This window comes from Homo sapiens, chromosome 2 (assembly GCF_000001405.40).
Source record: "Homo sapiens chromosome 2, GRCh38.p14 Primary Assembly".
Classification (NCBI taxonomy): domain Eukaryota; kingdom Metazoa; phylum Chordata; class Mammalia; order Primates; family Hominidae; genus Homo; species Homo sapiens.
Genome location: NC_000002.12, coordinates 64570397 through 64584727, shown reverse-complemented (window position 1 = coordinate 64584727; position 14331 = coordinate 64570397). Strand labels below are relative to the sequence as shown.

The window sequence follows — 14331 nt, the reverse complement described above, 5'->3', positions numbered from 1 at the left end:
CTACTCAGGAGGCTGGGGCAGGAGAATGGCATGAACCCGGAAGGCGGAGCTTGCAGTGAGCCGAGATCACGCCACTGCACTCCAGCCTGGGTGACAGAACAAGACTGCGTCTCAAAAAAAAAAAAAAAAAAAAATCATGACTAAGGACTAATCATAAACATATACCACATAGCTCTTTCTTCAGGTTAGAGGTGGGGAGGGTAAAAGATTTTCAGAAAAGGTGAGTAAAAGTACTACTTTTGAACAAAATGAAAATTCTTGTCTACAGGGTTAATTTCTGTAGTCTCATGTCTGAATCTGGTAGTCATTAGTTCAAATATCTTGTTAGAGTAATTCAAAAGGAAGCTCAGAGGGTTAGATTTATTGCAAAAATTGATTTAAAAAATCTCCCCCATCTGACTGCATTAAAATACATATAACTTTGTGTATTTCTCATGTAATACAGATTTATAGCAATGATGACAACAATAACATTAAAAAGAACAGTTTAAATATTTTAAACTTAAGTTACACTTTGAATAATATTCAGAGTAAAAAAAAAAATTTTTAATCCTACACTCTCCTGGTACCAGCAAATAACTTGAGAAAAAAAGTTCATGAGTTGCCGGGCGTTAACAGCAAAGCAAAATTCTAAGGAAGAATGTCTTAGAGCTTCTGAAATTTTTACTTATTATTTCTTTAAAAAAATGCCCTGTAAGATCAGCAGATCAAGTTATATATAAATAACATATATAAATGCATATATTTAGATTAACAAGTTTTTTTCCTTTTAAGATACTTAACATATTAAAAAATTAAAAAATCAGAAACTGACTTCTATTAACCAACTTTACAGAAGTAAACACAGATCTCAGATGTTTACAGAAATCAGACAAGCAAAAGCGACTTCCACAGTTACGAAGTCTAACAAGGGAGGAAGGCTATAGAAAATGTATATTGACTCTCCCAAGTTCTCAGTATTTCATTAAGGTACGGTTTCAAAATATACTTTAAAAGGACTTTCCTTTGTGTTCCTGTAATAAGAATATGGGTTGCAATTAAAATGTAAAAAATTGTATATGTCTGTAAAGGGACTACATGAGCCCAAAGTACCTCCCTCTCTAAAGGCTAGATTCCAGCAACCACAAAATTTAAGTTGCTGTCTAGTGTATAAGGCAGAATAAATAACTGCATTCTGACTGGCAATAGGTAAGTGCTAGTAAAAACTTAGTTGGGTTTATAAAATACTGGCCACTTGACTGTCAAACAGTAAAGAGGCAGATTAAAAAAAAAGACAACAAAATCACACCCCCAAATAACTACCACCACACCAAAACCCCCCCCAAAACTATGATTAGATTTTTCAAAAACAAGACAACTATTTAATAATTGGAGAGTAATTTTTTTAATGGAAGGTCTTTTTTTTTTTTTTAACAGAGCCTTAATGAGGCATGGTTTAGTTACATAACTAAAGCTAGCCAACCAAGTTCTATGCCAACCTCCTAAGTCTCACACACAAAATAATTAAATAACCGCAAGCTAAGACGAAATGACTTTCCCAGAAACAAGTCAGAAAAAATGCAAGCAAGTGATGAAATGGAATACTAAGGAAGGTGTTGATACCTGTAGCTTGATGGTAACTTTTAACAAAACCCAATAGCAATAAAAAGAAGCCAAAGCAAATATATAGTAATCAAATTTATATAGCATCTAGAGCATATTAATGAAAATATTGAACAAAAATATTTAAAAGGCTCCAAAGTAATGAGAACTGCATTTGACCATGCTGATTTCACTTCCATTACAGCTCTAAGCTTCTGAAACCGCTTGCTCTTCTCGCAGCTGTGTACACTGAGCCTGATTATCAGGTCATTTCTGTACTTCTTTATATAGCCACGTTATTTGTGCTCCTATGAATGGTTTTTAAATGAGTTTGAAATGTAACCAAAAATTAAATTTAAACCAGGTTTTTAGGGATCCAAAAGAAAAACAGTGACCTCATTCAAATTATAATACAGTTTATGACAAAACAAAGCTGAGAGCAAATTTAAAATGGGAGCTTAATAATTCTTGGGAATACAGTAACAAAAAGATATACATGTTTTTGGTTGTCCCTCCTACCCCCCCGTAAGTATTCTAAAATGTCAGACAATTAGCTCACCCAGGTCACTGCACAGATCAAATGTAAATTTAGAAGTAATTTAAGTAAATAGTACAATATCATTTTGAAGTCAAAACCAGACAGATTGGTTTTTTATATGCTTGCAAAATCTTGAAAACAGTAAGAATAACCAGGGGCTTGGATTTGAGGAATCCAGTCATTCTATACCAAATGACCTTGGAACTTCCCTGCAGCAGAATCAGATTTGCATAACCAGATCTCAAGAAGGGCATCCTAGGTCCCAGGTTCACTCTGAGCTGACTGTTAGTCTCCCCCATCCACAGCCCATCATGGCTGCTCAACTGTTGGAAGTGGGTGGTAGCACTATCTAGTGGAATAGCACAAAACCAGTGAATTCTCAGGAACCAGGCTAGTTGTGAATCTGGCCACTAGTGGGGACAGAAAGGGACTCTCACTATGCATTCTGGGCATGGGCATCTCTACGGCACCCCAACAGCTGTCTGGTGATCAATGGACATGATTACCAGATCACCTGTTGGGATGACAGTTATTAATATTGAATAAAATGTAAACATAAAAATGCCATTATAATTTTAATCTTTTATTCAGTTAGAAAGTGACAAAGTACATTAGTCCTTTGGTCAATGAACTGAACTTTTGCAGGGCTGAACATTAACAGGCACTCCAGTAAGTTTTAATCTCTAGCTTTTAGTATCTCATAGCAATTATTTTCTACTATTAACTTTTGTAACATTTTTTTTCCCATGGAAAACTAACAGTATACTTTCTATTTAAGAGCTACATAAAAACAGAAATAGTTCTATGTGGGACTATATACTTAGTGCTAGACTCCAACATTTTGGAACCCAATTATATATTTAGCAGCACTAATAAACAACTAATTGAATGCTGGAATTTGTAAAGGTTATATTATTACAGGCACTACAATGTAAAGTCATCTTTGTATACTAAAATATTCTATCTATCTCTAAACTTGTATTTTTTTCAAATGGCTTTATAGAATATGCTTTTAAAAATAAGCATATAAAATATCACATTTTCCACTTAGAGGAAAAAAAAACCAACAGCCCTGCCTTTAACTGTCTAAGGACATTAGGGATGTTTTATTCCTAGAAACTACTTTCAGCTTTGAATATTAGAAAGTTTTCCTTGAAATACATAAGTCATTTTTTTGTAATCAGATACTAGAAAATAACAACAGATGAAAGAAAAGTATTAAAAAGACATTATAGAGAATACAATCTACTTGTTTCCTTGTTTATAGGAAAGTCAAGTGATGTGGTCATGCTTTTAGTAAATAAACTGGAATTGTGGTTTTAACACTCTGCTGACCTGGGATTGTGGTGCTGCTGCTAGAGCTACTGTCATCCACGGGCCCAAAGAAATCAAGGTTCAGAAGAGTGGAACCTCCACTAGCTTGAAATTCAGTGACCGTGTTGGTAGGCAGCCACACAGAAGGTAAGCCAAGGGAGGAGGGGTTATGTGTAAAAAGGGGTAAGACACACACTTGAACATGCAGGTTATAATTAGTAATCATTACACATTTTAAAAATCAACATTAAAACAATGTGTACAGTATTAGCTTTTCATTACTAAGGACATTTCTAAAATAACAATTTAATTCAATGTACATTTTCTCATGTACAATGTAAAGAATGTAACACTTAGTAAGGTTTTAGGAGTTCAGTTGCTTCAATCAAAACTGGAAGCCATACCAGAAAGACCGAAAGGAATGCGTACCCGTTAAAGGGAAACAATACTTTAATCTCAACCCAACATTAAAAATCACTGTACATGCCCAAATCAATCTTTCATGTTAGTAATATTGGTTTCTAATTAATGCTTTTTAAAAAGTGACAAAGTTGTCAGTTTCAGGACACGCACCAATGTGTTAACTTAGTTTAAAATAAAATAACATAATAAAGAATGTCATAACTACCCTACCCTGATGTGCAACCTCAAGCTGTACTGTTCCCCTTTAACTCTGAAACAGTAATCAGAAATAGTATACATTTTTAAAGAAGTTGTTTGTTAATAAAAAGCATGATGATTTGACTGAAGACACCAGACAACAGCAAAAAGTGCATCCAGGCTTTCCTTCAGCACTATATTAATTCAATTGGATGCTTTCCAGATATCTGATTTGACTGAAGACACCAGACAACAGCAAAAAGTGCATCCAGGCTTTCCTTCAGCACTATATTAATTCAATTGGATGCTTTCCAGATATCCTAGGACCCCACTATAAGGCCAAGCTGATAGTGTTTTTTTACAATGGCAAAATAATTGCCATTTAGACAATGATAGGTGTTTAGACAATGGCTCGAACAACTTAAGCACAAGCAGTAAGAGCAATTACATCTTGGGATCCACTTAAAACTTGTGGTGTCAATACTAGAAACTAACATTGGTGTGTTACTTATTTTAAAGAGCCCACATTACATTACTGAAATAAGTTATTCCTTTTTGAGGATTTTCTTTTAAAGCCATAAGTGAAACCAATTATTTTTAGAACTGCCTACTAACATTTGGAGACACGCTTTAGAAAAGGATCGTGAAATTTATTTTCTATTTGCATATAGGTGCTCTATAAAATATTAAATCTAAAAACTACTTTGAGTCAATAAACATGGATCTATGCACACTGTTTTTGGCTAAATAATTGTGCTTTGTGCTTTGAAGCAGCCTCTAGTCACAAGACTTTGCATCCAAGAAAATTCCAAAAATTAAAACTTACAGAAAAAAATTCAAGGTAAATTGGTCCTAGCTAAAATACCTTTTAAACTACCTAGATATTTGTAAAAAATAAAGAAGCTTACTTTTGACTGAAACTAAAATTTTACCTAACTACTATTACCTATATTTGGACATTAATACTGTTGATAATAGTAACGGCTGGTTTCTTGAGCAATTACTGTTCAGAAAGAAAGCCTGAATTTCCAAAGATAAGAATAAGTTATGTTCAAACAAAAAAGGAAATCAGCAGAGAGAAGTTTGTCTGAACTTTGTAGCTTTCTTAACTCTAGCTCTGGTGCTAGAGGCTCTACGGAGAGACGTACCATCTAAAGGGTTAGTAAGGCCACTGCTACTCCAGTCAAACTGGACGGGTGGTAGAGACTCCTAGAGTTGAAAACCAAAAAATCAAAATTAATCAGTACAGGTTGTAGCAACGTAAAGAATCCTTAAAAAAAAAAATTATAGCAAGACCATTAGGCAACAAAGTACCTAAAGACAAAATTGGGATAATTTACAATTTCAGAAGGTTACCTGCAAATATCAGCACAAACTGAAATTGCAAAATTTACAAACAGTACAGGTTATTGACATTTAAAAAGTTGTATCTGGGAAATGAAATTATCTTTACATTTTTAAACAAATTTATGAACTGATTCTATGTCAAGATTTCAATCTATTCTCAAATCATGATTTCAACTATTGATGTGATTACAATAAAAATTAAAACATGGTATAAAACAAGAAGATTCAAAGTCTAAGGTCTGTCTGGTTCCTTACAATTTTCCAGATTTTGAAAATTATGGGCTAATAAGACATTTTTAAAGTGTTGACTTAAAATATCTATTTTAATCAACTTCTTTCATTTAGAAATTACTTATTAGATACCAGAATTTAATTGTGGGTGTCATCCTTGTACTGGGGCAATGCTAATCTCCTCTGACCTTGCCAAATTTTATAATGTGCTGCTGAAGCGAGCATAGAATTTTAAAAACAATACACTCAAGGGATGCTCAGGCAGGGCACGGTGGCTCACGCCTGTAATCCCAGCACTTTGGGATCCGAGGTGGGCAGATCACGAGGTCAGGAGATCGAGACCATCCTGGCTAACACAGTGAAACCCTGTCTCTACTAAAAATAAAAAAAAATTAGCCAGGCATGGTGGCACACGCCTGTAATCCCAGCTACTTGGGAGGCTGAGGCAGGAGAATTGCTTGAACCCGGGAGGTGGAGGTTGCAGTGAGCCGAGATCGTGCCACTACTGCACTCTAGCCTGGGCGACAGAGTGAGACTGTTTAAAAAAAAAAAAAAAAATTCACTATTCCAGGGGTTTAAATTTCGTAACTGTCAAACATATAAAATAAGCAAATGGTAAATTTAAGATGGAAGGCAGTGCAAACACATTTTTAAAATAAGCATTCACACTTCATTTTAAGAATATTCTTACATGAAAAAATGTTGGTTGTTTTTTTCTTTTCTTTTGGGGATGGTGTTAAAATAACCTGTATTTTATTAGACTTTTGATATCAAAATGTTATCGTCTTTTTTTGGACATCGCTTACCACTACGCTTTATTGTAAGGCAGGCACTGTTAAAACTTTATATTTTTTTCTGCGTAGGTAGGTAAGATCACTTGCTGTTTTTTATAGAAAAGGAGCATGAATCAGTTATTTTTGTAAAGTCTAACTCCATGATATTATAATACGACTGTCTGGATAACTGGGATACCAATGACAGGCAAATTAATTTAAGTATTTAGTCTCCAAAAATCAGGTCCAGCCTGGAGCAAGGTATAAACCAAGTAAAATACTAACATTAGTTAGTGGGTGTAAGGGATGGGATAGGGATGGTTGTGGGGCAGTGACTATTAAGGGTGTTCTTAATGGTGGTGGTGGAAGAGTTTTGTATCTTGACTGGTGGTGGTGGTTACAGGAATCTACCTATGTGATATAATGATATAGAACTATATACACATATTGTACCAATGTCATGTTCCTGGTTTTCACATTATAGCATATTATGTAAGATGTAACCATGGAGGAAACTGGTGAAGGGTACAAGGGACTTCTCTGTACTACAGTTGCAACTTCCTATGAATCTATAATTATTTCAGATAAAAGTTAAAAAACTGCTGAAAACCTAGTTTATAACCTACCTGCACAGCTAATAAATATTTAGAAATATCTTCTTTAGCTGATCATAAAAGGAAACAAACATCTCTAAGCATTCTAGCAGATTCAACTTACTCCACTTCTAGATCAGTGACACCTTTGGGCATATTCAACACTGAATGAATGGACAAAATCTAGGTTTATACAATAACGATTTCTGAATAAATGGAGCAAGTTCTTTCATGAACACATTCTATCTGAATGATGTCAAGTAGCTGGGTGCTTAGAAATATTTCAATGATTTAATGATTTGCTGAAATCTGAGCTGCTCAAACAGGGGTATGGTATTTTGAAGACAGCCAAAATCATAATGAGGTGATAAACACGAATCGACATTTAACGGAAATGAAAAAGGTGAAAAACAGGATACCGAAGCAAAAAAAGACTAAAACTAATGATGTTCACAAGTATACAAGTATGGAAACTCAGAGAAAGCTTGAGAATGAAGCATTTTAAAACCACTTGAAGCAATGTGGTATGAATTATTACTGCAGAGATAAAAGCACTAGGCAAATAAGGTCACAATAAAAAAGAACAAAAACATGGAGACAGGAGGCTTGGATTCCAGTCCTAGCAGTACCACTAATACATGGTTTTGGGTAAATCACTTAGCCTTTCCAATGCTGTAAAAAGTGAGCATGGTGGCCAGGCGCGGTGGCTCACACCTGTAATCCCAACACTTTGGGAGGCCAAGGTGGGTGGATCACTTGAGGTCAGGAGTTTGAGACCAGCCTGGCCAACATGGTGAAACCCCGTCTCTACTAAAAATATAAAAATTAGCCAGGTGTGGTGGCAGGTGCCTGCAATCCCAGCTACTCAGGAGGCTGAGGTAGGAGAATCGCTTGAACCCAGGAGACAGAGGTTGCAGTGACCTGAGACTGCGCCATTGCACTCTAGCCTGGGCAACAGAGCAAAACTCTTGTTTCAAAAACAACAAAAAAAAAGTGAGCATGGAACTACATAATCATTTTTTCTTTTCTAGCTCTAAAATTCTGATTCACAACTAAAATACATCAGGCAGTCTAAGAGAAGTTGCTACCGGTGACTAGATGGATAACTGCCAGTCAGAGTGTTGACCCTACTCAGCAATGAATAAAGTGTAAAGTATTGACCTTACTAAGAGGGAAATCAGTAGTGGCACAATGGTGTGACCTTGAAATTCAGCAGATAAAAATGAAAACACACACACAATCCCAAAAAAGGTAAAATTACTGTTTTCACCCTTAAACTAAGTTAATAAATTTCTAAACAAGAGATGCAATAGTTATAAGATCAATGAATACAAGCCAATTTGGAAGATAAAAACAAACTCAATGGGTACCAAAATTGGGATAGGACAGACAGACCCAAAAGCATGCAGTCATAAGGGGAATTATACAATTGTGCTTGTGCTAAGTTTGAAAGCCACTGTTGCTTCTAGCACTAAAGGCTAGGGGCGTAGGAAGATGTAACTTCCTGCATGGCCAAAAAGTAAAATTACATATATTTACATATATATATATGTTATATATATATATGTATATGTAAATCCATATATATATACATACACACACACACACACGTATTTCATTTGTATGACACACGTGTGTGTGTGTGTGTGTGTGTGTGTGTGTGTGTGTGTGTGTGTAGCATGCCAAAGAAGAGTGGTAAGAAATATTTTCTAGGCCGGGTGCGATGTCTCACGCCTGTAATCCCAGCACTTTGGGAGGCTGAGGTGGGCAGATCACTTGAGGTCAGGAGTTGGAGACCAGCCTGGCCAACATGGTGAAACCCTGTCTCTACTAAAAATACGAAAATTAGTCTGGTGGTGTGGTGTGTGCCTGTAGTCCCAGCTACGTGGGAGGCTGAGGCAGGAGAATCACTTGAACCCGGGAGGTGGAGGTTGCAGTGAGCTGAAACCATGCCACTGCACTCCAGCCTGGGTGACAGAGCAAGACTCTACCTCCAAAAAAAATATATACACACACACACACACACACACACACACACACACACACATATACACACATACATATATATATAAAATTTTCTGTAAAGAGACTCTTTAGAAAATGTACTTCAGATGTTTGTTAAATTTTTTTTTTCGAGGCAGGGTTTTACTCTGTTGCCTAGGCTGGAGTGCACTGGTGTGAACATGGCTCACTGCAGCCTCAAGCTTCTGAGCTCAAGTGATTTTCCCACCTCAGCCTCCTTAGAGGCTGGGACTACAGGCTCATGCCATCATGCCTGGCTAATTTTTGTAGAGGCAGGGTTTTGCCACGTTGGTTAGGCTGGTCTCGAACTCCTGGGCTCAAGCAATCCACCTGCCTTGGCATCCCAAAGTGCTGAGATTACAGGCATGAGCCACCAAGCCTGCTCTGTTAAATATTTTAACCTGAGTCAGAGGTATGGAGTCAAGCAAGGACCATACAATTCTGTGATGGAGGTCAGGCATCTTAGCACAAAATTCTAAACATGTTTTTCATTAGGTCATCTGGACTACTTTTTTGTCAAGTCCATAGTGAAATTATAAAAGAAACATGATAAGCTATGACTAAAATGAAATACACAGTAAGATCAAATCAGCTAGAGGAAAAAATTACAGGCAACAGCTAACTGATACAATAAGCAATAGTTTATGGGGTTGTAAGGTGGAAGTGGTTAGATGGAGGAGGAAGCAAGCAAAACTAGCAACAAATGGTCTCAATAAGTACAGCTCCATTTTCAGTGAATGTACCAAGTATGAATGTACCAAGTAGTTACTCAAAATACTTTCCTAATACCTAACACTGTAGGAATAAGAATGCAGATGGAGGCAGAAATAAAAATGTGCCGTGGGAAAGGTAATTCTGAAATATGCATAGACAGGGCAGACCTGGGATAGCAGTTTATAGCCAGAGGGCGTATCAGGGCAGCAAAATTAAGGTAACTAAGAACAGATTCTACCTACGGAGACATTCTGCCCAAGCCACTTTGTCTGCTGCCCAACCATCAAGGCCAGGCATTGTAAACATCAAGGTCCTCTGGCCCACTAATTCAGTGCTAGTAATAAGCTGGCTTCAAAGTAACATTTAAGCTATGCCCAAGTATAAAACACAGTGGTACACAGCAGTAATATTAGATGTTTCTTGAAACACACCTAAAATGGCAGGACCTATGCTTTACACATTTTCTAAAGTATGTTCTTCAAAACACTAGTTCTGCAGGTGCTACCACTCCCCTCTCCTCTGATCTCTGCAATAAAAGGTCCTGTGGCCAAGTAAATTTGAGAAATGAATTAAAATTAAGGCCATTCATTGCAGGACTCTTCAATGTCCTTAATGTGTGTTGTGATCTCTAAGGGTGGTTATGGGGGTATGATATGAAGTATTTCCCAAACTTACTTTACCCTGGAACCCTTCAGTGGACCACCTCTGGGGATTAATGTTCAATGGGAACACATTTTGGGAAAGGCTGTCCAAGCATACACTTTTTGTGTTAGATACAATTAAAAATGACATCTAAGGTTAAGAAATGACAAAACATGGCAAGAATATGTTTTAGAAATGGTAATGTTCACTTAAAAATACTAATCTTCTAAAACTATAATATTTAACCAGCACTGAGTCAGTTTGTAACTTGATATGGAAAGAGTAAGCAAGCCCAAATGGCCCATTTTACCCGAACAAAAAGTGAGAGAAGACTTTATATTAACATATTAGTCTGAAAAAAAATTTGTGCTTAAGTGTGCCAAGGAGGTAAAGGATAAGAAAGGCAAGACAGTTTTCTGGCTGCGTGTGATGGCTCACACCTGTAATCCCAGCACTTTGGGAAGCCAAGGTGGGTGGATCACCTGTCATAAGTTCAATACCAGCCTGGCCAACATGGTGAAACCCCATCTCTACTAAAAACACAAAAATTAGCTGGGCACGTTGGCACACACCTGTAGTCCCAGCTACTCGGGAGGCTGAGGCAGGAGAATCGCTTGAACCCAGGAGGCAGAGGTTATAGTGAGCCGAGATCATACCACTGCACTCCAGCCTGGGAGACACAGCAAGACTCCATCTCCAAAAAAAAAGAGTTTTCTATTTTCCTAATCCATAGATTGTTTAGTTAAAGGTCACATCATTTTCGAGTTAAATAACCATTTTGCTTAAATTCTAAAAACAAGTTTAAGGCAATGGACATATCTAACCTTTACTGCTTTATAAAATTTCACAGGATTCCAGAAAAAATACACATACAATAGCAGACTTATAGAGTTGGTATAAATACAGTGTTTCCTTTTTTCTTTTCTTTTTTTTTTTTTTTAAACCCAGCACTTACCAGATTTGTGTCAGTAATTATGATCACACAATATTCAAACTGTAAGGGACTTTAGAGATACCTGTTTTAAACCCTTCAATTTATAGATAAAGAGACTAAGGCCTGGATAGTTTTAAGAACTTACCCATAATCACCCATTTCTCAAATTGTGCTTTTCTGTTTTTGAAAATTAAAGACAATTTGTTCATTGTATTCCAAGGGATGTTAATTAATCAAAATCATGTCCATCATTAAATCAAGCTTTACAAATATTTTTAAAACAGTCATAAATGAAGGAAAAAGGCAGTATGTGTGGATATATGTGTATATACACGCATAAACATATTTATACACATATAGATATTTTTACCTGGAACTGATCAGATGTACATGTGTTCATATCTGGTGACATGGTGGCTGTCTGACCGATGGAAGCTATTTTTTCTGCAGCAGAAAGTGGTTTCAGTGGTTCCTTGGTGGGCTCTAACATACCCTGAAAAAGGAATATTAGCCTTTAATGGGGATGGGGGTGCACAGCCCATAAACTTAAGTTAATCTATCAGAAAGAAGAAGGTAAAAAACAGGTCACTTGGAAAGTACTGAAGACAAAAAGGAACTAGTCTTTTTTTTTTTTTAAGAGACAAGGTCTCACTAGTTGCCCAGGCTGGCCTCAATCTCCCTGGCTTAAGGGATCCTCTTGCCTCAAGCTGATGCCACCACACCCAGCTATTCTTAAATTTTATTTACTGAAAATCCTATAGCACTATAATGAGAACCATTTCACAATAATACCTTTAGAATCAAAAGTTTTTAAAGCAAGACTTTGTATTTTAAATCAGAGGTTTTAAAGTACAGAATTATTACTGTCACATGAAAGCAGAAGCACCAACTCGGGATGGGTGGGGGGAGACAACAATATGTCACATCTAACCTCTAAAAATCCAACACTAATGACACTAAAATTGTAAGAAACGGCACCCTTTGTACACATTACCCCATGGTGAGAAGTGAGAGCTGATTGTAAAACACGCCATATAATATGACATCTATATCCTTCAGTGTAAACTTAATATTTGATCCTGATCTCTATGACAGCACTGGAGACTTAGTTCCTTGGACAGGCAAAGCAGATATATACAGCCTTTTTAGAGAGGAAGAACATCTTACAGGTTCCACAGGGTTTGTTACAAATCTAATACACCTTTTTTTTTTTTTTTTGAGACAGAGTTTTGCTCCTGTTGCCCAGGATGGAGTGCAATGGTGTGATCTCAGCTCACTGCAACCTCTACCCACCAGGTTCAAGCGATTCTCCTGCCTCAGCCTCCCGAGTAGCTAAGATTACAGGTGTCCACCACCATGCCTGACTAATTTTTTGTATTTTTTTTAGTAGAGATGGGGTTTCTCCACATTGGCCAGGCTGGTCTCGAACTCCTGACCTCAGGTGATCCACCCGTCTTGGCCTCCCAAAGTGCTAGGATTACAGGCGTGAGCCACCACGCCCGGCCTAATATGCTTTTTGAGTAAGAAAAATAGATGTTCAGTATGGCTATAGAAATAAAGAGGAAAAAAATCAGTATTTTTCATCAACACTCTACCAAACTCAAAATGGGCCATAATCTAGGCCTGAAAAAAGTCAAACTGTTACATGTTTTAAAATAATATCTGAAAAGCTTTTGAATGTTTTTCAAAGGTTACATCCTAGACAAAATCACCCTTAACTGGGCCAAAAAAACAAAAACAAAAACAAAACCTCAAAGCTGCTAAGTCTTTAATGTTAGAATCTGTAAATTTCTAAAATTTTCAGGAGAATCCCTGCCTCCTCCCTTCCCCAATAAAATAGGTGTAAACTAACTAAAACAGTTTGCAGAATCAATTCTTAACAGTAGCACATCTGAAAGGCTTTAACCGAGCAGCTAGAAAAATGAAATAAGTTCATGGTCTAACTCAATACCATATGTATTATACAGGCTCTCTGGTGTGCCCTTATGCAGAGACGATACATTTGGCAAACAATTACTAGTTTCAGCCAAGTTTGTTAATTTGAACGATCACTTTAAGCAGTGGTTCTCAAATTGTGATCCCCAATCAGCAGCTTCTGTGTCACCTTGGAACTTGTCAGACGTGCAAATTCTTGAGCCTACCTCAGAAATACTGAAAAAGAAACAGGGGGGTGGGGGGCGGTGCTCAACAATTTGTGTTTTAACAAGTCTTCCAAGTGATTCTTATATACATTAAAGTTTGAGAACCAGTGGCTTAAATGATCACTTCAGGTACTATTTCTCCGGGTGAGATCAAAAGATTATTGAACATCTCAAATGTGTAAGGTACCATGGGTAAATTTAGCTATAATTAAAACTTGATATTAAAAAAAAGTTTCTAAATGAAAGATATCACAAAGATGGGGGAGGGCGAGATACATTTAAATTCATTAAATAAACTTTGGAATTAAAGCTTATAGAAATAGTAGCCATAGGTATGAGCTGACAGATGTGAAAAACTGGAAAAAAGGTGGGGGGGGGGGGGAGGGGAGGAAAGAAGTGGGAAAAAAAGTCCATAGAAATAGTAAAAATATTACTAATAAAGGTTGAAAAATAAAGCATAAGCTTTAGCCTCTAACTTCTCACAAACCTCACAGAACTGGCTAATGGGCTGAGGCTACGCATAAGCATTAAGTAGGTCACTGCCCCTAATATGCTGAATGAAAGTGCCTACAAATTAAACTCCTAGTTCCATAACATCAACAACCTCTGGATTGCTACTCCTTGAGAAAAAGAGAAATCCAAATAACCAAAAAGTTAAAGAAATGTCCAGCATTATATTTACCTACAACAGAAAACAATGTGGGGATCATCAAAATGTTTTTAAAGTACACGATAACCATTTACAAAGGAGTAAACAGATTTTAAAAAAACCAAAACTCTAGAAAATCCCACAAAACAAATCAAAATGTTCCAATTCAAAATCAATAATTAGTGCTTATTCATGGAGAAAGTTTGTAGATTTAAAGGTCAAGTTCCACAGCAAATTGTCACATGCACATAA

The 14331-nt window shown here is 36.7% G+C and overlaps 1 protein-coding gene, 1 long non-coding RNA gene and 1 pseudogene across 20 annotated transcripts in view, besides 1 other annotated feature; 1 reads left to right on the top strand and 2 right to left on the bottom strand.

Annotated features, from left to right (window-relative positions):
* AFTPH (aftiphilin) overlaps positions 1 to 14331 on the bottom strand; it is a 68678-nt gene that overhangs the window by 8278 nt on the left and 46069 nt on the right. For 3 of the 13 annotated variants that reach the window (NM_001375971.1, NM_203437.4, NM_001375973.1), the window contains 3 exons: positions 11660 to 11782; positions 5182 to 5242; positions 3455 to 3538 (listed from right to left, as the gene is read on the bottom strand). In NM_001375971.1, coding sequence (NP_001362900.1) covers positions 3455 to 3538; positions 5182 to 5242; positions 11660 to 11782 — 268 coding nt within the window. Of the gene's footprint in view, positions 1 to 3454; positions 3629 to 5181; positions 5243 to 11659; positions 11783 to 14331 lie in introns of all 13 variants that reach the window. The other 10 variants (NM_017657.5, NM_001002243.3, NM_001394996.1 and 7 more) reach the window with 5 other exon arrangements.
* Positions 1 to 14331, top strand: part of LOC105374773 (uncharacterized) — a 68499-nt gene that overhangs the window by 22512 nt on the left and 31656 nt on the right. For 4 of the 7 annotated variants that reach the window (XR_007086341.1, XR_007086339.1, XR_007086347.1 and 1 more), the window contains exon 4: positions 3387 to 8228. This is a non-coding gene — a long non-coding RNA (uncharacterized LOC105374773). The remainder of the gene's footprint in view (positions 1 to 3386; positions 8229 to 14331) is intronic. The other 3 variants (XR_007086343.1, XR_007086342.1, XR_007086340.1) reach the window with 2 other exon arrangements.
* Positions 2251 to 2310: an enhancer, noted in NCBI's record as "active region_15894". NCBI's record gives its function as "activates an Ori minimal core promoter by ATAC-STARR-seq in GM12878 lymphoblastoid cells {active_cell/tissue: GM12878}" and the evidence as "EXISTENCE:reporter gene assay evidence [ECO:0000049][PMID:35858748]".
* On the bottom strand, positions 5731 to 5836 carry RNU6-100P (RNA, U6 small nuclear 100, pseudogene; annotated as a pseudogene).